Source organism: Homo sapiens, chromosome 11 (assembly GCF_000001405.40).
Source record: "Homo sapiens chromosome 11, GRCh38.p14 Primary Assembly".
NCBI classification, from domain to species: domain Eukaryota; kingdom Metazoa; phylum Chordata; class Mammalia; order Primates; family Hominidae; genus Homo; species Homo sapiens.
The window spans coordinates 77,809,409-77,832,762 of NC_000011.10; the positions used below are offsets into that span (position 1 = coordinate 77,809,409).

At 42.3% G+C, this 23,354-nt stretch overlaps 2 protein-coding genes and 1 pseudogene across 26 annotated transcripts in view, besides 8 other annotated features; 1 reads left to right on the plus strand and 2 right to left on the minus strand.

Annotated features, from left to right (window-relative positions):
• Positions 1–23,354, minus strand: part of RSF1 (remodeling and spacing factor 1) — a 212,224-nt gene that overhangs the window by 149,400 nt on the left and 39,470 nt on the right. For 2 of the 3 annotated variants that reach the window (XM_005274051.3, NM_016578.4), the window contains exon 1: positions 11,120–11,314. The exons of the other annotated variant lie outside the window; for it this stretch is intronic. In XM_005274051.3, coding sequence (XP_005274108.1) covers positions 11,120–11,306 — 187 coding nt within the window. In that variant the 5' untranslated portion in view covers positions 11,307–11,314. Of the gene's footprint in view, positions 1–11,119; positions 11,315–23,354 lie in introns of those variants that run through there. 3 annotated transcript variants of the gene reach the window in all.
• RPS20P27 (ribosomal protein S20 pseudogene 27) lies at positions 3,875–4,388 on the minus strand (annotated as a pseudogene).
• Positions 9,695–10,668: an enhancer, noted in NCBI's record as "NANOG-H3K27ac-H3K4me1 hESC enhancer chr11:77530149-77531122 (GRCh37/hg19 assembly coordinates)". NCBI's record gives its function as "activates a minimal SCP1, AML or CMV promoter by ChIP-STARR-seq in naive H9 embryonic stem cells {active_cell/tissue: H9 hESC(naive)}" and the evidence as "EXISTENCE:reporter gene assay evidence [ECO:0000049][PMID:30033119]".
• Positions 9,964–10,073: an enhancer, noted in NCBI's record as "active region_5309". NCBI's record gives its function as "activates an Ori minimal core promoter by ATAC-STARR-seq in GM12878 lymphoblastoid cells {active_cell/tissue: GM12878}" and the evidence as "EXISTENCE:reporter gene assay evidence [ECO:0000049][PMID:35858748]".
• Positions 10,669–11,641: an enhancer, noted in NCBI's record as "NANOG-H3K27ac-H3K4me1 hESC enhancer chr11:77531123-77532095 (GRCh37/hg19 assembly coordinates)". NCBI's record gives its function as "activates a minimal SCP1, AML or CMV promoter by ChIP-STARR-seq in naive H9 embryonic stem cells {active_cell/tissue: H9 hESC(naive)}" and the evidence as "EXISTENCE:reporter gene assay evidence [ECO:0000049][PMID:30033119]".
• Positions 10,704–10,793: a silencer, noted in NCBI's record as "silent region_3801". NCBI's record gives its function as "represses an Ori minimal core promoter by ATAC-STARR-seq in GM12878 lymphoblastoid cells {active_cell/tissue: GM12878}" and the evidence as "EXISTENCE:reporter gene assay evidence [ECO:0000049][PMID:35858748]".
• Positions 10,934–11,023: a silencer, noted in NCBI's record as "silent region_3802". NCBI's record gives its function as "represses an Ori minimal core promoter by ATAC-STARR-seq in GM12878 lymphoblastoid cells {active_cell/tissue: GM12878}" and the evidence as "EXISTENCE:reporter gene assay evidence [ECO:0000049][PMID:35858748]".
• Positions 11,194–11,363: an enhancer, noted in NCBI's record as "active region_5310". NCBI's record gives its function as "activates an Ori minimal core promoter by ATAC-STARR-seq in GM12878 lymphoblastoid cells {active_cell/tissue: GM12878}" and the evidence as "EXISTENCE:reporter gene assay evidence [ECO:0000049][PMID:35858748]".
• Positions 11,374–11,513: an enhancer, noted in NCBI's record as "active region_5311". NCBI's record gives its function as "activates an Ori minimal core promoter by ATAC-STARR-seq in GM12878 lymphoblastoid cells {active_cell/tissue: GM12878}" and the evidence as "EXISTENCE:reporter gene assay evidence [ECO:0000049][PMID:35858748]".
• Positions 11,614–11,773: a silencer, noted in NCBI's record as "silent region_3803". NCBI's record gives its function as "represses an Ori minimal core promoter by ATAC-STARR-seq in GM12878 lymphoblastoid cells {active_cell/tissue: GM12878}" and the evidence as "EXISTENCE:reporter gene assay evidence [ECO:0000049][PMID:35858748]".
• Positions 11,736–23,354, plus strand: part of AAMDC (adipogenesis associated Mth938 domain containing) — an 84,881-nt gene continuing 73,262 nt past the window's right edge. For 12 of the 23 annotated variants that reach the window (NR_171640.1, NR_171643.1, NR_133637.3 and 9 more), the window contains exon 1: positions 11,736–11,833. The gene's annotated coding sequence lies outside the window, so the exon portion shown is untranslated. Of the gene's footprint in view, positions 11,834–22,486; positions 22,605–23,354 lie in introns of all 23 variants that reach the window. The other 11 variants (NM_001392034.1, XM_047426839.1, XM_047426837.1 and 8 more) reach the window with 3 other exon arrangements.

The following is a 23,354-nucleotide window of genomic DNA, read 5'->3' on the forward strand; positions in this document are numbered from 1 at the left end:
GGAGAAGATAATTAAGGTTTAAAGGGGAAGTCCAAAATACAGGAAAATAGGACACTAAAGGAGTGAGATATAGTTATCATGGTGAATACAACTAGGTAATAATAGAAGATAGGGTATAAAATGAAAAGGCCATGAGGCAAAAAGATAGCAAGGAGAAACCAGTTGACCACAGTCAAAATTCATAGGACAAAAAACCTCTAAAATGAGGATTATGGAATGTCTGAATTCAGATGCCAGACCAAGTTAGTGCTGCTGTAGATGGTTTATTTATGGTTCTGATAAACTGGAGGTTGGCAAGACTTTAATGGGAATATAAAGTAAGCTCCATTATACTTCTGATTAATCAAAGTTTTCCAATATTACCATATTGCTATATCCCCAAACTCCAAATACCAAAAGCAAGTTAGAATGGATTATTTGGAATAACTCATTCTACCTAATTTTCTTTTCCTAAAACACTTTTAACATCTAAACATTGAAGAAGTGGCAATTATATTTATTTGCAGAGCCAACTGTGAAGATGCTAAGGACAAAAGGAAAAGAGTAAGTATCAAACTCCCTGAGATATCTAGCATAACACATGCCTAAGCTTCATAACCAGTACTGCACTTTTGCTGCAAAATACACTGATGACCAAGGCATTTAATCCCACTTACTAGTAAGCTATTATCTAGTACATTCTTTCCCAGTCCTGTGTCCTCTAAGTAACCTAAGTAAATCTTTTAAGTTCTACCTTTAATAACTACATCCTTTCCCATCTGAGTACACGGCATCACCATTCATCCAACCTTACCCTCCCCTAATCAGTCCACTTGGATAAGACTTTGAGGCCAGTATAGCAGCAATGTTACAACAACTCTTACCCTCACTACCAATTACCATGTCACATGGCTCCCATCCTGGCATTGCCTTATGACAATTAGGCAGAGGTAGCCATGGCTACTCTTGAATGAAAGAAATTTAGTTCAATATAATGTCATCACCTTGTTAACAAAAAAGCTTTTAGACTCACCTAACCCAAGAGGAGTAATTAATACTAAAACAGTTGGATGTAAAATTAGATCAATACTGGGGAGACTACTGTTCCACTAAGTTTCATTCACAGGACATTCTAGGCATTTAATTTGTATTATATTGGTTCCTTTTTATTTTTATTTTTTGGGGGGGAGATGGGTGGAGTCTCCCTCTGTTGCCCAGATTGGAGTGCAATGGCATAATCATGGCTCACTGTAATCTCTGCCTCCTGGGTTCAAGCAATTGTTGTGTGGCAGCCTCCTAGGTAGCTGGGATTACAGGTGTATCCCACCACATCCAACTAATTTGTATTTTTAATAGAGACCAGGTTTCACCATGTTGGCGAGGCTGGAAATTTGTATTATACTGGTTCTAAATGTATTTTCAAAAACAGAGATCATCATCTGATAAGACTTCCATCTTCATACACTGGAATAAAGATCAGTAAATTTTTTTCTGTAAAGGGCTAGACAGATAATAAGTTCTTCAGGTTTTGGGTTTTGTTTTTTTCTGAGACAGGGTCTTGCTGTTTCACCCAGGCTGGAGTGCAGTGGCATGATCAGCCTCAACCTCTGGGACTCAGACAATCCTCCGAAAGTGCTTGGATTGCAGTATGAGCCACCATACCCAGCCCAATACTTTAGGTTTTGAAGTTATATGTTCTCTGTGACCATCACTCAACTCTGCCACAGTTGTGTGAAAGCAGCTACAGACAACAGAATGTAAACAAATGAACATGGCTGTATACCAGTAAAACCTTATTTACAAAGATAGAGAGGACAGGCTGTAGATTGCCCACCACTGTACTAAGCTATCACAGACTAGGCTTTAACTTCAAAGTTTTAGAGCAGAACATGGTCCTATAGTAAGTTGAGGAAAACTATTAATTCCACAAACATTTACTACATATTTGCTATTACCCACCAATTGCTGGTGATAAAATAAAGTAAGAAACCCTGTCCTCAAAGAGTTTACCATCTTGTAGGCTAGGCAGTAACTGCAAAAAGTGTTATGAGTACTGTGGCATAAAATCTACAAAGTGTACGTGCAGGGTAAGGAGATTGAAGTGGTTAATTTAACTTGAGAGACAGAAAGAAGGAAATTTTCCACAGAGCATTTGATGCTTAAAGAGCAGACTAATGACGGGTACAGTGAGCAGGCAAGGGAAGGAAGATGGGGATGGTATATTCGACTCAGAGGCAGGAGGACGAAGAAAAAGCATAAATGTAAAACAACCTTTCACATCTTCAGAGATGTAAAAGCAGTTTGGCGTGATTAAAACTAGCAATGAGAACAGAAAAGCAAGGTTGAATATAAAAGGGGATAAACAGACTCAATATAACTTGGTATCAAAGAAAGTGTCAGAGGCTAAGGTCTAGGATGCCTCCTTGGTTTCTGATCTGAGTGACTTGGGTAGATGATAGTAACATTCATTTAAGAGGTAATTCAAGATTAAGAATAAATAAATAGGCTGAGCTTGGTGGCTCACGCCTGTAATCCCAGCACTTGGGGAGGCTGAGTCAGGTGGATTGCTTGAGCCCAGGAGTTTGAGACCAGCCTGGGCAACATAATGAAACTCTGTCTCTACTAAAAATACAAAAAATTTTTAGCTGGGTGTGGTGGCACATGCCTGTAGTCCCCAGCAACTTGAGAGGCTGAAATGGGAGGATCGCCTGAGTCTGGGAGGTAGAGGTTGCAGTCAGCAGAGAACAAGCCACTGCACTCCAGCCTGGGTGACAGAGTGAGACCCTGTCTATAAAAATAAGAGTACATAAATACAAGCAGAAATTCAATTTTCCTTTTAAAAAGCCTCTTTAGAAATCTAGTTTTAAATAGTTTTTTGGTGATTATCAAAGAAATGCACAATTAACATAGAAAATGAAATGTGAAAAAATATAAGAAAAACCAAAGGGAAAAAACTGTATAATCCTACTATTCAGAAAATGATTAAGATAAACATGTACAAATACTGGAGAATAAAGCTTAGAGTCTAAAATTAAATACAGACTCAACCTCCACTACGAAAGCTTTCTGGAGGAACTCTTGCTTACATGAGCCATATATACATTATATACTTCATGTTGCTCTTCAAGCAATCCTTGTTCAACTACAGGAGGCTGAAGCCTGGTCTGTCTGCTGTCAAGTTTTGCCCTCATGCTCTTCTTTCTTAAAATCAGTTTGGGCTGGATGTGGTGGCTCATGCCTGTAATCCCAGCACTTTGGGAGGCCGGGGCAGGCAGATCACTTGAGGTCAGGAGTTTTTGAGACCAGCCTGGCCAACATGGCGAAACCCCATCTCTACTAAGAATGCAAAAAAATTAGCTGGGCGTGGTGGCGGGCACCTGTAGTCCCAGCTACTCAGGAGGCTGAAGCAGGAGAATCACTTGAACCCAGGAGGCAGAGGTTGCAGTGAGCTGGGATCGCACTACTACACTCTAGCCTGGGTGACAGAGCTCCATCTCAAAAAAAAAAAAAAAAAAAAATCAGTCTGGTGTAGTTTCTGCTTGCTGTGCCCTCACAACTCATGTTCTTACACTGAAAAGATCACCTTAATTTTGGACAAACATTCTAAGCATAACTTTTAATTCTTGCTCTTTGTCCAGCCTCTAAACTGGTAAGATTAAATAAACACTGCAAATTCCCCACCACCTCATCCCTGCTTCTTCTGTTTATTAACAGAAAGGCACAAATTATGAAATAATTTGCTAAAATCAGAATATCTTACACAACTTACTTTGAGAGAAACCAAATTTATTTGATAAGTATTTTTAAATGAATATTAAAACTTACTTAATTCTGAGCAAAACATGAAAGTAGTCTAATGATGAATGGGATCAAGTCTGCCATTTATAATTTTTTTTTAACAACTGGTAATCAATTTATTAAAATAGTTGACTTAAGCATCTGCAATGGTGACTTTCACCTCAACTCCCGGCTCAAACTGATGGAAGCAATCTGCTTAACAATCTCAGAAGGACTGTGCAAGTCAATGAGTCGCTTGTGGATTCTCATCTGGAAAGGATCCCACGTCTTAGAACCTTCACCACAAGGACTTTTTCTGTAGTGATTCTCAAAGTCTTGGTAGGTATTCGAACTGGTCCTTTCACTTGGAGATTCTTTGCCTCTGCTCCTCTGATGAAGTCAGCACACACCTTTTCCAGGGATTTTATGTTGCGGCTCGTTAGAGTGATTCAATTTCGGTGAACTGCCACCTCCAGCTCCACGCGTGTTTTTCCGGTAACCTTCAAAGCCATAGCTGCTGCACGGCTTCCTGACCGACTTGTTCCTCGGCGAGAGCGAACAGTAGTGAGTAAGGAGCAGGAGCCTGCGGATCACAGAGCCGCAGCACCTACCACCGCGACTTCCTCAAAGAGCGGCCATTTATAATTTGTAAAAGGACACACACACACACACACACACACACACACACACACAGAGATAATGGAGAATTAATACAATTTAACACATCCCTAAACTCAGGATAAAAATAAGAAGTGGCTGGGCACAGTGGCTCATGCCTGCAATCCCAGCACTTTGAGAGGTGGAGGTGGCTGGATCACCTGAAGCCAGGAGTTCAAGACCAGCCTGACCAACATGGCAAAACCTGTCCCTACTAAACACATAAAAATGAGCCAGGCATGGTGGTGCATGCCTGTAATCCCAGTTACTTGGGAGCGTGAGGCAGGAGAATCACTTGAACCCAGGAGGCAGAGGTTGTAGTGAACCAGGATCGCGCCACTGCACTCCAGCCTGGGCCACAGAGCGAGACTGTCTCAAAAAAAAAAAAAGTTTTGGCCACAAGTGGTGACTCATGCCTGTAACCCCAGCACTTTGGGAGGCCGAGGTGGGAGTATCACCTGAGTCCAGGAGTTCAAGACCAGCCTGGACAATACAGCAAGACCTCATTCTCTACCAAAAAAATTTTTAAAAATTAGCTGGGCATGGTGGCATGTGCCTGTAGTTCCAACTACTCGGGAGGTTGGGGCAGGAGGATTTCTTGAGCCCAGGAATTCAAGGCCCTAACTCTGGGGGGGAAAAAAAAGGACAGAGTCTCGCTCTGTCACCCAGGCTGGAGTGCAGTGGCACCATCTTGGCTCACTGCAACCTCTGCCTCCCAGGTTCAAGCGATTCTCCTGCCTCGGTCTCCCGAGTAGCTGGGATTACAGGCGCCTGACACCAGGTCTGACTAATTTTTGTATTTTTAGTACAGATGGGGTTTCACCATGTTCGCCAGGCTGGTCTCAAACTCCTGACCTCAGGTGATCCGCCGCCTGGGCCTCCCTAAGTGCTGGGATTACAGGCATGAGCCACCGTGCCCAGCCGAAAAAATACATTTTTATAAAGTAGGCATTCACCTCAGAAATCCTTTGATAATGTTTGAAGCAATACCAGTTTAATACTGTTTAAGTCAGTTTCCTCTATTATTGTGGTTCAATTGTTTAGTGACTTGGAAACCCCCAAAATATGGTTTTTTTTTAATTTCAGTGCCTCCTTTCTTCCTAACACACTGGTGCAAACCTCATACAGAGCACACTGGAGCTAGCAGGCACTGCACTTTATGGCATACAAGTGAAAGAAAGCGTAAAATGGAAGAAGCAGCCCCTTCAAATGGCTAAAGGTGGTGTGACTTCAGACATGAGGATCAGGAAATGGAAGTAAAGGGGAAGTGGAAGAGTAAGGAGAGAATGCCTGCTGTTCTCTCTAGTTTAGGCATCAATTTGCCTGGAGGCACTGCTTGTGCCCAACAGTACAAGAGCGAGCAAAAATGTTTAAAAGTTAGCTAATGCAAACCTAACGTACAGATATGACCATATAAAGCTAAACAAATTAAAAATCAAAGCCTGCTAGAACATATGTAATTACAAAGTGTACATTATAATTGCCCATATAATTAAATGTTTTTAAAAGAAAATAGAAAATACCCTAATACCTTTTGTGGGATCTACTCTACAATAAAAACAGAAAACAAACAAAAAAAGCCAAGCATAATATATTAAGACTATACCCATCAGGTAGAGTAAAATTTTATTAAATCTAACAACACACATAACTGTCTTCCTTGAATACATGATTCAGTTTAACATGTACTTTAGGCCTGAATTATTCTTTTTCATATTGCATGTGGTCATACATCTCACCATAAAATTGTTAGATAATTTTAGTTTACAACTGTAGACTAGAATGCACGGACTATTGCTCCACTTGATAAAATCTCAGAGAAAAAAAACTAAGTCTTTGAATGATGTCATTAGTTTCAAGCTCAGTTTAGCTATTTCTTACTAGATTAGAAATTTCTTTTAAAAGGCTCATGTTTAATGTTTTTTTAAAAAAATAATCCCCACAATATTTACTGTAGCTACATCTGTACATAGCAGATGCTCAATATATATATTAAGTGAATAACCTCACTAATAAATGCTTGCTTACCTTCTTACCGGTGAGGTCTGTTTAAGAACTTAACAAAACATCTAAATTTAAGGCAAACTTCTTAATCATTAAAAGACTAAAAAGTAAGCCAGTTTGCATTAACAGGCTCATGTTAGCCAGACAAGTCCCTCTGTCTCCATTACCTCCTAGTTCCTAGGACAATGACAACAACCTCCCTCCAAACCTCCGTAACTTTACTCTATGACATATCGAAAATGGTGGAGATGAAATCTGTTTCTCTCTTTTCATCTAATAAGTGCCCTAAAGAATATTTGCTTTTTCAAAGGCAGAAGAGACACAACTAAAAAGTTTCAACCTAACCAGGCTCTGGCCCCAGCAATACTACTATTAATGTATGTATGCCCTACCAGTGTCTACCACTGTAGACTCATGCAACCTCTAGTACATGCACCTGGTAAAATCTTTTGTTTAAATCAACACATGTGGCCCCAGTTACAGTAATCACCTTTCCACTTTATCAAATGCACCTAAAAATATATTGTTACACACAGATCAGTTACAGTACCAGTAAGAGAGACCATAGTAAGTTATAGTTACAATTCCAGTTAAAAAGGCATTTTTTTAACTTTGATATTTTCACTTCGAGTTAAAATTCAAATCATTAAATGCAAAAATGAAACAAAAAACTAATGGCTCAACTTACTTAATATCATACAACTAATTCAGCCAACCATAGTATAAACTATGAGAATCCTAACACATTATCTGTATTTACCTTAATAAATTTATTAGATATATGTAACATCTCAACCAATATCCAGACTGTTTTTAAAGAATACAGTAGTATAGTTTCCTCTTGAAAAGAAATATTCTCTGCAGGAGAGGAAAGATACTTAGGAGCCTTGGGTGTCAGGGATCTCACAAAGTCAACGTCAACTTTATCCATAACCACCATCATCTACCTCCAGTTAGGAGAAACCTGGGGAAGTCCACACAAAGCACAGAATTGGGAGGACTAAAGTAGACTGCAGGGAGAGGAGGATAAAACACCACCTTCATTTGGCACATCCTTTTATAACTAGTATCAACTATAAATCTAAATTTTTTGTTGACAATTTCAGCATATATGTGGGCTTTTCAAATAAGAATTTGACTAACACCAACAGTTAGCTGTATACACTTGAAATCTCTCTCTGTAGCTTGATTTTCCTCCTGAAAAATAAAGGCAATGACACAATAGTCCCTTCTTTCTTGCCCCGAAATTCAATGATAGTTTCTAGAGCAAAGGTTCTCAAACATTCTAGCTTCACGGCACCCTCAGTATCTCAGTAATTTTCTCACAGCAGCCCTAGGCCAGAAATAATAACACTTCCACTTATTAAGTAGTCAGTAGCCATGTGAAAAAATAACCTAGCTAAATTTCAACAAATAATGTTTTTACTTCATTCTTAACCATAATTACTTGTGAAATGTGTATTACTGTTGGGCACTGCACAACTTTTCAAACCTTGGAATCAGAGTGGACCCTGCTATCCTCTTTCCTGCTGCATACTGACTTTTTTGTGAATTTTACCACAGCAACCGCTAAAAAACCAGCTTCACAAAGACATATCATCTATAGAAATGTGGCACAACCTTGAAACCATGAAGTATGTCAAGGCAGTAGCTCACCTGGCAACCAGCAAATTTCGGCTACCACTGTATCCTACTTGAAAATTTAAACTATCAGATGGAGTTGGCAACAATGCTCTAGGGTGCCTTGGTGCAGTTTGGAAACCATGATACTATGGCAAGGTATATAATTTTGTGGCTTTGGACTCAGACTTGGGTTGGAAATCATATTCTACCATTAACTATAGACTCTTAAGCACCTTAATCTATTGAGCCTTAGTTTCTATGCCTGCCAAATAGGAATAATACTATCAACTTCAGAGAACAGTTGCAAGGAACTAAATCCATGTCTTTTAACTCTTGTACACTACAACTCTTTCCCAAAAAGACTCAGTTCAAATCTTGTTGGCTGAGCCACTATCATTTTATCAGCTATTTGAAACAGGCTGAAAGTTTGTAATAGCTGATAAAACGACAGAGGTTCACCCAACAAGCCAACTTTGATGATGATATCATGGTTCATCATCAAAGTTCTGAAAATCGTTTCCCTGCACAGTAACAGCATTTCACCTGCAGAGACTTCTCATTTGCCAAGTGTTCTGAACTGTGTAACATTAATTAATAATTATTCTAAGATCACCTTATGATAGGATCTATTATTATCAGTCCCCTTAGCAACTCTATACCAACGGTAATGCAGTGGCTGAAATAAATGATCCTTCTTAGCCCAGGTTACCTGTCATTTTTACTTACTTAGTGAACCACTATTCAATTCAACTGACTCTAATATTGTATTCCTGTGATATTAATATAAACTAAATGCACTGGTCAAAATACCTAAAATAAATGTAGATTCAAGCAATCTCATATACTACCCAAAATACCACGCCATCCCAGAAAACCTATGCATTTCAACTTGGTCCAAAGAAATTACCAAAACAATTTACTAGCCATCCTTTCCCCAAATGCCCACAGTTCGTTCTCTGAGAGATACATTACTATCACTTCCCAAGGCATCCTAAAAGCAACTTACTAAGGCATCCTACTTCACAATGACTACCTTCTTAAAAATTAAAAAACGGGCCAGGCTTGGTGGCTCACGCCTGTAAAGCACTTTGGGAGGCCAAGGTGTGTGGATCACGAGGTCAGGAGTTCGAGATCAGCCTGGCAAACATGGTGAAACCCCGTCTCTACTAAAAATACAAAAATTAGCCGGGCTCGGTGGTGCACACCTGTAATCCCAGCTACTCGGGAGGCTGGGGCAGGAGAATCGCTTGAACCTGGGAGGCGGAGGTAGCAGTGAGCCCAGATCCTGCCACTGCATTCCTGCCTGGGCAACAGAGTGAGACTCCGTCTCAAAAAACAAATAAAAATAAAAAATATAAAAAAGAATGTAAATACAATTTGATAATGAAATTACTACAATGGGAGCTTAATTTTTAAACAAATTCTGTGAGAAGCCTTTATATAATGTAATTAGTCACCCTCCTATTTTGTACTATTTTTTAAATTAGCCTTTTGTAAGCCAGTTTGTTACAGGTAGAGGGAATGTGGACAGGTAAGAACAGATTACTAGGCTTATATTATAACTGCTGTATTAATTTGAGTCTTCGGTAGCCATAACATCATACAGATTCTTTATAGGTAATATTCTGAAGAACTTCATACTTGGCGCTTCCTAGCAATGCAAATAAATTCAGTTAACAGAAACTTCTTCATTTACATAGAGAATAGAAGAGCGACCCTGCTTTCTTGGAAAGGAAACAGCTATCTGTCTTGTACAATAACCAATCCACTTTGGCCAGCTAATATGGACAAAAAAAGAGACCTATTTGGAAAACGTTTCTTCTCCAGCCAAGGGCTGTTTCCAGATAAAGGCAATGCTCAGAGTATAACAAAAAAGCCTTCTCTGAGGAAAGAAAAGTGCCAGAAAAGGAGAGGCAGGGATCGGGAATAAATGGGGGTGAGTATAAGCACTCAGTGTGAAGGCTGGAGGCAGCAGGCGCAGCGCTGAGATGCTCCAGCAAAAGAACCAGCAGCAGCAGCAGGAAGTTTCAATGGGGCCGGGCAGAGCATGCGCCCTGCACCCGCGCGGTGGCCTTATGTGGAAGGAGCACCACTTGCGAACACCAATAATAGACCAGCGGCACCAGAGAGAGAAACATGAGCAACAAGCACCTTCTTCAACTGTTTCCCCCTCCGTCAGAGCCCCTCCTCCAGCTTACATACTAACCACCCCACCCTACCGTGCAAATGGGAGGGAGACGACTTCTTCGCCTAAGCCCGGCTGCCAAGATGAAGGGGGAAGGGATTGGAAAAGTGGGGAGATGCTCGCCTATTATTTTGGGGGAGGTGGGGAGAGGAAGGAGAACTATGGAGGAGGAATTAACCCTCTCCTCTCCACAGTGGAGCTGAACCGACTTCGCCCCCCTACCGAGAATGGAGAAGAACCCCCTCCCGTGGGGGAGGAGCAGACCTCCCCACTTCAAGGAAGGAGTTTTAGGGGTTAAAGCAGCCCTCGAGGGGAAGGGAAAAGGGACAAATCTCTCAGGGGAGTTCCCAACAGAGGGAGGGAGAGTTGAGTGTCCGCTGGCCCCCGCCCACCCAGGTGAAGGGAGATAAGGAGGTGTCCGGAGCAGCCGAGCCCAGCCTTCCCCGAGATGGTCGGGAAGACTGGTGGGAGGAGGGGAGGGAGTAAGGGTGGGGAGGAGGAGAAAAGCGCAAAGCTGGCCGGAACCTGCGCTCCCCTTCCCCCGCCGCCAAGGGGGAGACGGGGTGGGGGGCCGCCCTCCGCCGCGGAGAAGCAGTCCCCGGGGCTGCCGACCGGCACAATGACCCCTCCCCGCCTCCAGCCCACACCTAGCCCGCAACGCCTCCACCTCAGCTCCCCGCCCGGCCGAGTGGCCCTAGGGGGCCTCCGCCCCGCCTCCCCACTGCCCAAGACCCCGGGGGCTGGGCGGAGAAGACCAGCCCGGCGGAGTTGCGTCCCAGGGGGAAGACAGAGCCGCGGAGGCCCGAGCCGCGAAGAACCGGGGCGCCTGTGAAGAGCGGAGAGTAGCAGAGCGCCAGGGCCGCTTCCCGCCGGGCGTTCGGGCCCCTCGCTTACCTTCTCCGTTGCCGACGTCCGGCGGCGGCGCCTGCAGCACCCGCTCCAGCTCAGGGAACGGCAACTCAGGCAGGTCTAGCAGCGGCCCGTAGCGCTCCAAGAAGGAGCAGACTACGGCGAAGTTGGGGCACGAACCCGGGCAGCCCGGAGGAGCCATCACCGCCGCCGCTGCCGCCGCCGTCGCCATTTTGAACTGGAGGATGGAGGAGGAGGCGATGGGGGGGCGGGGGAAGTTGTGGTGCCGAGGGATGGCAAGGCAACCTTACAGACGACAGGAGGCGCTCTCAAGTGGGCTCCTCTGCGGATCCCAGCGTCTCAGGGACGGCTCCGCGATCCCACAATACATCGGCGGCCCGGAGCAGTCGAGAACCGAGTCAGACGGGAGACAGAGCGGCCCTCGGCGCCTTTCACTTTCCGCCCTCTTTCCGCCCCCTTCTCTCCTCCCCTTCGGGCTTGCCACTGCCTCGTGTGACAGGGGGAATGAAAACAAGGGAAGCGGGGCGGGGAGGCGGGCTGGAAGCGGGAGGGGCGGGACTTCTCGAGAACAATGGCCAATGGACGCAGAGGGGGCGGGGCCTCGGGCGCTGTTCAACTGCAGGGCGTATTCCCGGAGGGCAGTTGGGGAGCGCAGATCCCGAAGCAGCGCTGGGAGCGTAAGTGCGGGCAGAGCACTGCGCCGTTTGGGAACGCAACTTTGAGGAGACAGTGCGGTGGGTGAGTTTGCGGGGGAATCCTGAAACTGGGCCACGAGATGGTGGAGAGGTTGAGGAGAATTAATAAACAGAAAAAGGGAATAGGGCGGGGGAAAGCACAGTTGTGGGAGAAGGTTGGGAAGGGGAAAGGTAGAGGTGTGCCCTTAATTAGGGGCTGGGCTGGGACCTCGGTAAGATGTCTCTGTGGAAGTTTGCCGACGGGGTATTGCTCTCTGCTGGGGTACAGGAATCGCAGCTTTGCTGGAAAAGCAGGATCTGAGGGAACGGAACTCTGGGGGAATCGTCGGAGTGAGGAGTTGGGGCCCTGCTGGGAGAAGAGGATCTGAGGAGACCAGGCTCTGCTAGGGGGCCATGGTGTGAGGGGAAGGGGCTCTGTTCAGGGACCAGAATCGGAGTGTGGGCTGGGACTCCATTGAGAGGCGGAACATGACAGGAGACGGTGGAGCAGCGAAAAGTTTGTTAGAAGACAGGGTTCCACTTCGGGGCGGGGCGGGGGCAGTGAACATTCCCACAAAGAACGCCAGAGAGAAACTACCAATAATGTAAAATAGAATGTGCAGCCTGAGAAGCAGCAGTACACGTTATGCTTAGAAGCCTGAGCTTTGGATTCAGCCAGGCCTGAGTCCTAGCGGGGCTACTTCATGACACTGTGGAGGTTTCTTTATTTCTTTGAACTCCTTAGAGTGGGGTGATAATAGTACCTACATCATACGGTATTACTAGATAAATCACAGTAAAGTGATTAGCACAGTGCCGTAGCACATAGTGAGTACTTTAAAAATATTAGTTATCAAAAAAGGAGTTCCTATAATTTAGACTGAATTCCGCTATATTTATTTAGTCTATAATTTATTACTTTGAGAATTTTCTGAGTGCATTTAAAACTCAATGTAGTACCTAATTCCTAAAAAGAATTTGGCCGGGCGCGGTGGCTCATGCCTGTAATCCCAACACTTTGGGAAACCGAGGTGGGTGCATCACCTGAGCTCTGCAGTTCCAGACCAGCCTGGGCAACATGGTGAAACCCCGTCTCTAGTAAAAATAACGAAAATTAGCCGGGAATCCTTGGGAGGCTGATGCAGGAGAACCCCTTGAACCGGGGAGGCGAAGGTTGCAGTGAGTCGAGGTCGCGCCACTGCACTCCAGCCTGAGCGACAGAGCAAGACTCCACCTCAAAAAAAAAAAAAAAAAAAAAGAATTTGAAGCAAGGTACAACACAAACCATGTAAAAAAGAGAAATCTGTAATTATAGAAAGATAAGAAATAGATGGGCAAATAATTATATGAGTAACAGGGAAAATGGTCACACAAACACCGAATTTTTTTCTTCATTTCCAGGTTTTAAAAAGGGGAAAAACCATAAGGGTGTGTATTATTCCCATTATCTAAAGAAAGAATACTCAATTTATCAAGAGAAAAATTCTATATTGTAAGAAGAATTTATTGCCTTGAATAGTGATTCATAGTCTTGAGTGGTATACAAACCGTTTTTAAAGGAAAAAAGTTCTTTTGAAACTTGGCAAATACTTTTGAAAATTTCACTGTAAGAAATACTGATGTAAGAAATCAAAGTCTAAAGAACACTGTAAATGTACTTAATGCCACTGAAGTATACACTTAAAGTGGTTAAAATGGCATATTTTATGTTACATGTATTTTACGACAATAAAAAAGCTTTTAAGAAATTAAAATCCGCCGGGCGCTGTGGCTCACGCCTGTAATCCCAGCACTTTGGGAGGTCGAGACGGGCGGGTCACGAGGTCAGGAGATCAAGACCATCCTGGCTAACGCGGTGAAACCCGTCTCTACTAAAAATACAAAAAATTAGCCGGGCGTGGTGGCGGCGGGCCCCTGTAGACAGCTACTCGGGAGGCTGAGGCAGGAGAATGGCATGGACCCGGGAGGCGGAGCTTGCAGTGAGCCAAGGTTGTGCCACTGCACTCCAGCCTGGGCGACAGAGCAAGACTCCGTCTCAAAAAAAAAAAAAAAAAAAAGAAATTAAAATCCTACTTCAGGAAAATATCTTTATGGTTATGAATTATCACTGCCAAAGAAGTTTTAATTTAATAAGTCGGAAAATATTGTTTTTAAGCAATTACTGAAATGAAACACAAAACTAAACTAAAACATTTTTATAGAATTCCCAAACGGGCAAGTGTATATCTCTTGACCCTGGGGACCTGAAGACTCCAGTTTAAAAATAATCTGGGCGAGGTGGGGTGGCTCATGCCTGTAATCCAAGCACTCTGGGAGGCCGAGCAGGAGGACCCCTTGAGCCAAGGAGTTCGAGACCAGCCTGGGCAAGGTAGTGAGACCTCATCTGTAATCCCATGTAGTTGCCACTGCACTCCAGCCTGGGCGACAGAACTACACCCTGTCTCAAAAAAAAAAAAAAAAAAAAAGAATAATTTGACCCAGAATACAGTTTTAACAACAGTTTTGTGGAAACATACAAAGACTTTCATATACTGGTTACTTAACTGACCTTAAATAAAAGCCAGGTACAGGATATTTTAAAATAAAATTGTATCTTTGTGAAGGAATTTCTATGGAAAGAACCTTCAAACCTAAAAGGAAGATTTATTATGTGAACCTTGCCTGTACTTTCTATCTTTGCTTCTAGCTTTTGCAGCACTTCACTTCCCACATTCCAGTGAGGTTGTGAAATAACATTCTAAAAAAAAAAAAAAGCTTTATTACTATAGTTTTCTTTTCTCACTGCTCACACTGTTAGTCAAACAGACTGATAAATAAAGGTTAGAGTTTCTGCCTTTTCTAATCTAGATCGGCAGGGAAACAGAGTCCTTTGGCATCAGAAAGTTATATCCACCCAAAGATAAGAAGTGTTTTGCTACAAAGCAAGGTTTAAGCATGCCTTCCTTCACTAAAGTCTGTTCTTGAAAATAAATGACACACACCCATAATGCTATCATCACTTCTTGCTTTCCTGGGCTAAGAGAAATTGTGGAATACAGAGCTTAACGACAATTTATGTAGTTATATAAGTGAGTTATATTTATCAGACTGGAATGTAAAGGTGCAAAAAAGAGTAGCTATTTTTAAAACCTGTATTTGATTTATTGCTACTGCCATGAAGAGGCCTTTAAATAAGCATTAAGTTACACTTGGTTCAACTTTGTTTATGAATAAGAAATTTCTTAAGATATTTCAAATTTCATGTCCTATTAGGGGGAAATATTTTGCTCAATTAGAATTAACGGCTAATTTATTAAAAATACCAAAAAGTCAAAAACAACACAAATATTCATCAACAGAAAAATATAAATTGTGATATACTACTCAGAGTAATACACACTGTTGATATACACTACAGCCTGGGTGAATCTTAAAAACATGTTGAGTAAAAGAAGGCAGACACAAAAGAGTTAGGTACTGTACAATTCCATCAATATGAAGGTCAAAACTAATCTGTGGCAATAGAAATCAAAGTAGTTGTTTCCTTTGAGCTTGGAAGGGTATTGACTAGAAAGGGGCACAAGGGGACTTTGTAGATAGTTTCTATATCTTGATTGGCAAGTTTATTTCTCAAAATTCATTGAACTCTATAAACACTGCATTCAACTAAATGCAATGCAATTATGCTTCAATTTTAGAAGTTAATGGTTTATTCCTATATAATCCCAATTAGCATTGGTACCAGTCTGCCTTTTATACAAATTTATACACATTTCTGTCTCCTTCATATGTTATCTTTGCATTTGTTACATAGTTTTTTTGTTGTTGTTGTTTTTCTTTTTGAGACAGAGTCTCACTCTATCACCCAGGCTAGAGTGCAGTGACGCGATCTCAGCTCACTGCATGCTCCGACTCCTGGTTTCACGCCATTCTATTGCCTCAGCCTCCCGAGTAGCTGGGGCTACAGGCGTCTGCCACCATGCCCGGCTAATTTTTTTTGTATTTTTGGTAGAGACGGGGTTTCACCATGTTAGCCAGGATGGTCTCGATCTCCTGACCTTGTGATCTGCTCACCTCAGCCTCCCAAAGTGCTGGGATTACAGGCATGAGCCACCAGGCCTGGCTGCTTTTTTTTTAATGGATATTATAAGCTCAGTAAATGTATATTGAGGCAAACTGAATTCCATTTTAGAGCCAATTTGGGGAATTCCTAATCAAGGATGAGCAAATTAGGTTTATCTAAAACTCACTTTAAAAAAGCTAAAACAAGCTGCGCACGGTGGTTCAAAAAAGCTGAAGGTATATGGACTTAATATTACATGTAGTGAAAAAGCTATTAAGTGTCAACAGAAATAGGAATCTCTACTCTTTGAGATAGTTTAATAAGAAGATGTATGAAAATAAAAGGAAGCCCTAATACAAACAAGATGTAAACCAACCATTTTCTGGATATTTGTCTTGATAACTGAATTCTGTGTTACAACAGAATTCTATTCATTGAAGAAGACACCTTTAGAAGTGTCTTACTACCCATTTTTTTTGTTTTTTTTTTTTTGAGTCAGTCTCACTCTGTCGCCCTGGCTGGAGTGCAGTGGCACGATCTAGGCTCACTGCAACCTCTGCCTCCTAAGTTCAAGTGATTCTCCTGCCTCAGCCTCCCAAGTAGCTGGGATTACAGGCAAGTGCCACTACATCCGGCTAATTTTTGTATTTTTTGTAGAGATGGGGTTTCACTACGTTGGCCAGGCTGGTCTCAAACTCCTGACCTCAGATGATCTGCTCACCTCGGCCTCCCAAAGTGCTGGGATTACAAGCGTGAGCCACCGTCTTACTACCCATCTTTTTTTGAGACTTATGCATGAGTCTATTCTCTGACAAGCCTGGCTAAGATTGGTTTCTCCGATGGAGTAAAGATTTTTACTGAAAAGAAAAATGAGCGGGTAGCCAGAAGCAGTGGCTCATGCCTATAATCTCAGCACTCTGAGAGGCCGAGGTGGGAGTTCAAGACCAGCCTGGTCAACATGGTGAAACTTCGTCTCTACTAAAAATGCAAAAATTAGGTGGGCATGGTGGTGCATGCCTGTAGTCCCAGCTACTCGGGAGGCTGAGGCAGGAGAATCACTTGAACCCAGGAGGCAGAGGTTGCAGTGAGCCAAGATCACACCATTGCACTCTGGCCTGGGTGACAGAGTGAGACATCATCTCAAAAAAAAAAAGATGGGGGACAGCCTGTATTATTATGTTTTATGTCTTTTAGCTATGTGTCTGTGTTTTAAATTTTTATTATTAAATAATTCAGAACAGGGATAATCATCGGCAGTTTGACATCCTATACAGCAAGGCCTGATATTCACTTGTATGAACCAGAAAGGCTGTACTGACTGTTAAACTGTTAAGATACTGTATTTACATGCCAGTTGCAGCATAGTCGCTACCCTGAGCCTCCCAAGTACACTCCTGCTACACTGGCTAGCCAGTCTGTCTCCAACAACACCCAGCAACCGAACCTTTGAAACAGACACACCAGACCCTATAACTGTATGCCTGCAAATCAGATAATCTCAATGAAATGAACACATTTCTAGAATAACATGAACTATGGAAACTCACTCAAGAACAACTAGAAAATCTGAATGAACCCATAATAAGTAAAAATACTGAATTGGAGCTGGGTGCAATGGCTCATGCCTGTAATCCCAGCACTTTGAGAGGCCGAGGTGGGCAGAACACCTGAGGTCAGAAGTTCGAGACCAGCCTGGCCAACATAGTGAAACACCATCTCTACTAAAAATACAAAAATTAGCCGGGTGTGGTGGCACACACCCGTCGTCCCTGCTACGCAGGAGGCTGAGGCAGGAGAATCACTTGAACCCAGGAGGCAGAGGTTGCAGTGAGCTGAGATGGGGCCACTGCACTTCAGCCTGGGTGACAGAGCGAAACTCGTCTCAAAAAAAAAAAAAATCGAATTGGGAATTTGAAATTTGCCCCTGGCCCCGCCCCCCTCAGAAAAGAAAAAAAGCTCAGATTCAGATGGCTTCATGGTCAGTTCTACCAAAAGTTGAAATAGGAATCAATACCAATGCTTCACAAATTCATACCAAAAACTAGAAGAGAGGGAACACTTCCCAACTTATTCTGTGAGGACAGATTTTCCTTAGTAGCAAGATAGAGAAAAATATCACAAGGAAAGCCCAATACCTCATGTGAATCTAGCAAACACAGCAATCCTCAATTAAATACTAGCAAACCAGTTCCAACCACATATAAAAAGGATTATACACCATAAACAAGTGGGATTCATCCCAACTATGCAATATTGGCTTAAAATCTAAAAATCAATATATTGTAATATATTTACAGAATAAAAGAAACAACATAGTCATCTCAATAGATGCAGAAAACTCATTTGACAAAATTCAATATTCTTTCATGTTAAAAATAATAAACTAGGAAGAGAAGGGAACTTTTTCAGCCTGATTAAGAGCATTATGAAAAACCCATGCCTAATATATGGAATGCTGAAAACTAATTCCTCCCTCCTAAGGTCAGGAACAAGACAAGGATGTTTGCTATATCCACTTACATTTAATATTATACTGGAGGTTGTAGCCAGTGCAATGTGTCAAGAAAAAAATAAAAGGCATCCAGATTGGCATGGAAGAAGTAAAACAAGCTCTATCTTAAATTACTGATCTTGTATGTAGGAAATCCTAAAGAATCCACAAATAAAGCTATTAGAACAAATAGGCAAGCACATTTGCAGGATACAAGATAAATACTCAAAAATCCTGTGTTATTCTGTACATTAGCAATGAACAATCCAAAAATGAAATCAGACCAGGCACAGTGGCTCCTGCCTGTAATCCCAGCACTTTGGGAGGCGAGGTAGGTGGATCACTTGAGGCCAGGAGTTCAATACCAGCCTGGCCAACATGGTGAAACTCCATCTCTACTAAAAAATACAAAAAACTAGCTGGGCATGGTGATGCGCACCTGTAATCCCAGCTACTAGGGAGGCTGAGGCAGGAGAATCACTTGAACTTGGGAGGCAGAGGTTGCAGTGAGCCAAAATTGCACCACTGCACTCCAGCCTGGGTGACAGAGCGCAACTCTGTCTCAAAAAAACAAAATACACAAACAGCAAAAAAATGATATCAATAACTCCATTTACAATAGAATCAGAAAATATTTAGAGATTTCTTAAAAAGAAATACAAGAATGAAAATTATAGCCGGGTGCGGTGGCTCACACCTGTAATCCCAGTACTTTGGGAGGCCGAGGCAGATGGATCACAAGGTCAGGAGATCGAGACCATCCTGGCTAACATGGTGAAACCCCATCTCTACTAAAAATACAAAAACAAAATTAGCCGGGTGGGGTAGTGGGCGCCTGTAGTCCCAGCTACTCGGGAGGCTGCGGCGGAAGAATGGCGTGAACCCGGGAGGTGGAGCTTGCAGTGAGCCAAGATCGCACCACTGCACTGCGCCTGGGCAACAGAGTGAGACTCCATCTCGAAAAAAAAAAAAAAAAGAAAGAAAATTATAAAACATTGTTCAAGGAAATTTTAAAAGACGTACATGGGAAGAAAACACATATTCATGGATTGGAAGATTTAATATTGATAAGATGCCAATACCTTTAAGTTGAAGTACAGATTCCACAGATTCACTCTCCATCAAAATTCCAGCTGGCTTCTTTGCAGAAATTGACAAGTTGATCCTAATACTAATATGGAAATTCAGAGAACCCAGAATATCCAAAACAGTTTTTCAGATGATGAACAAAGTTGAAGGACTCACACTTCCTGGCTTCCAAAGTTACTACACAGCTACGGTAATCAAGATTGTGTGTAGTAATGGCATATGACAGACTGTGTCTCCCCCAGATTCATATGTTGAAGCCCTAACCCCTAATGTGACTGTATTTAGAGATAATGCCTATAGGAAGGAGTTAACTAAAGTTAAACAATGTCATGAGGGTGGGGCCCTAATGTGATAGAACTGGTAATTTTATAAGAACAGAAATAGAGAGAGAGCTCTTTCTCTTCACATGCATATGCCAAGGAGAGGCCATGTGAAGACACAGAGAGATGGCAGACATCTCCAACCCAAGGAGAAAGCCCTCACGAGATACCAGTCAGGCCAGCACCTTATCTTGGATATGCCAGCTCCAGAACTGTGAAAAATAAATTTTTGTTGTTTAAGTTACCAATTTATGGTATTTTTTATAGTAGTCAGGCTGAATAACAAATAGCCATTTGGGTCAATGGAACAGAATGGAGACTCACATATAAACCTATACATCTAGAGTAAATTGATTTAAAATAAACATACCAAGACCATCTAATGGGGAAAGAATAGTTTTTGCAACAAATGATGCTGAGAAAACTGGAGATCCACATAGAAAAGAATGAAGTTGAACCCCTAATTCATTCCATATAAATAATTCAGAATGTTTCAGACGACTACATTTGTGAGACCTGAAACTAAAACTCTTAGAAGAAAACAAGGGTAAATCTTTAAGACCTTGGATATGGCAATGGATTCTTAGAAATAACACCAAATCCACAAGCAACAAAAGGAAAAATAAATTAATAGACCTCATCAAAATTAAAAACTTGTGTGCTTTACAAAAACATGTATCAAAAAGTCAAGACCATCAGTTCAAATGTGGGGCTTAAGAAAGAAAATCAAGTCTGGGCACAGTTGTTCATGCTTGTAATCCCAGCACTTTTGGAGACCAAGGCCGGAGGATCACTTGAGGCCAGGAATTTGAGACCATCCTGGGAAACATAGTGAGACCCCATCTCTACAAAATTCTTTTTTATAGCCAGACATGGTGATGCACACCTGTAGTCCTAGCTGCTCAGGAGCCTGAGGTGGGAAAATCACTTGAGCCCAGGATTTTGAGGCTGTGGTAAGCTGATTGTGCCATTGCACTCCAGCTTAGGCAACAGAGCAAGACCCTGTACCTAAAAGAAGAAAAGAAAAGAAAGTCAAAAGACAACCTACAAAATAGGAAAAAATACATCCAGTAAGAGATTCATCTAGAATATGTTAAAAACATGTTGGGAGCTCAAAAGGCCAAAGGGATCATGACCAACTAAGCATTCCGCTGGAGGCTATATGATCAAACAGCAAACTGTTTATCATGAATGCAGAATGTGGGCAAACTGATACTGCCCTGCCACCAAAAGGTTTGCTGAGGGCCTCACTCCCTGGCAGTGGGCTCCTTAAAGTTATCTATTGAGAAATCTAGCGCCTATTGTTTGAAGAATGCAGTCTTACAAACCTGCCGTGAATCAAACTGCTGACGACACCCACCCCCCACCCACCTCCACTTCTTGCTATCTCTTTTGCCTAATAAATATGGAGGGCTGTGTAAAGCTCAGGGCCCTTGTCCACTAGAGGCAAGGTGCCCCCGACCCCTTCTTCCAAATATACTCTTTTGTCTCTTGTCTTTTATTCCCGCGTTTGCCCCCCTTTATTCAGTCCCATAGGTCCGTGTGGGTTACACAGTGGCACCCCAAACAGCAACAGGATTGGGTGCTCTACAAAAACACATGTCAATAATAAAAAAGACAAATAATTGGCATTTCACCAAAGAAAATATACAAATAGCCAACAAGCAAATGAAAAGATACTCAACATCATTGATCATCAAGAAATAAATAATGAAAACCACAATGAAATAGCACTTTATGGTTGGGCACAGTGGCTCATACCTGTAATCCCATCACTTTGGGAGACTGAGGTGGGAGAATTGCTTGAGTCCAGGAGTTTGAGACCATTCTGGGAAACATGGCGAGACCCTGTCTCTACAAAATATACCAAAAAAAAAAAAAAAAAAAAAAATAGCCAGACATGGTGGCATGCACCTGTAGTCCCAGCTACTTGAGAAGCTGAGATGGGAGAATTCGTCGAGGCTTCAGTGAGCTGTAATCATGTCACAGCATTCCAGTCTGGACAACAAAGCAAGACCCTGTCTCAGAAAAAAGAAAGAAGGAAAAAAATACCACTTCACACCCACAATGATGGTTTGAAATTGGTGTTGACAAGGATATGGAGAAAGCAGAACCCTCATCACTGCTAGTGGAATTGCAAAGTTGTGGATCTGCTATGTAACAGTCTGATAGCTCCTCAAAATGATAAACATAAAGTTACTTGAACCAGCAGTTCCTTTCCTAGCTATACCCAAGAAAAATGAGCATATGTCCATGAAAAAATTTTTACATAAATGTTCATAACAAGCATTGTTTCTAATGTCAAAAATTGGAGACAACCCAATGGCCATTAGCTGTTTAATACAGATTCTTTGGCTACTCCTTGAAATTCTTACTTAGTAGATCTCTGTTGGAGCCTAGGTATCTGCAAGCACATGATGTGATTATCATTCTGGTGTTCTGAGAACCAATCTTAATACACCCTGCTCTACCCTTACCTTCTTGATTTTACTCTCCCAAGCCATGCTTACTATGGGATGTAATTTCTTCCACACAACATGAAAGAAGCAGCCACCTTTCACATTACTTAGGTATCTTTTTTTTTTTTTTTTTCTGAGACAGGGTCTCACTCTGTCACCCAGGCTGGAGTGCAGTGGTACGATCTTGGCTCACTGCAACCTCTGCCTCCCAGTTTCAAGTGATTCTCGTGCCTCAGTCTCCCAAGTAGCTGGGATTACAGACATGTGCCACCATGCCTGGCTAATTTTTTTTTTTTTTTTTTTTTTTTTTTAGTAGAGATGAGGTTTCACCATGTTGGCCAGTCTGGTCTTGAACTCCTGACCTCAAGTGATCCACCCACTTCGGCCTCTCAGAAGTGCTGGGATTACAGGCATGAGCCACCACGCCTGGCCAGGTATCTTTTTAAATCTTGTATGAAATTATGTCACTGTTCTGTTGACAAACATCTTGTGACTTCATTTTCTCTAAAGTCCAAATCTCTTGACATACCTATGATATCCACCATAATCTGAACTCAATCTACCTCTCCAGCTACATCATGCACTATAATCACACTGACAATAGTTAACTGTACTTACAATTATAGGTTTGGAAGTGGCAATACACAAAAACCATCAACATCATATATTTCTGGCAGGGTTGATTCTCATATATAAATTTATTCTTTGAGTTTATAAGTTTATAAAAAATGAAACTTCACAAATAGAGGAACTTTTTTTTTTTTTGAGACGGCGTTTCGCTCTTGTTGCCCAGGCTGGAGTGCAATGGTGTGATCTCGGCTCGCTGCAACCTCCGCCTCCCGGGTTCAAGCGATTCTTCTGCCTCAGCCTCCCCAGTAGCTGGGATTACAGGCATGCGCCACCATGCCCACCTAATTTTGTATTTTTAGCAGAGGCAGGGTTTCTCCATGTTGGTCAGGCTGGTCTGAAACTCCGGACCTCAGGTGATCCACCCGCCTCAGCCTCCCAAAGTACTGGGATTACAGGCATGAGCCACCGCGCCTGGCCATAGAGGAACTTTTATATTTATTCTTCAAATGTATTTCCAGTATTTTGTCATGTAGTACCCTCTGTTTTAAGAAAAAAAAAAAAAAGTCCTCCTACTCCCCAGTTTTCCCCATATTTGCCTGCTGAAATTTTTTGTA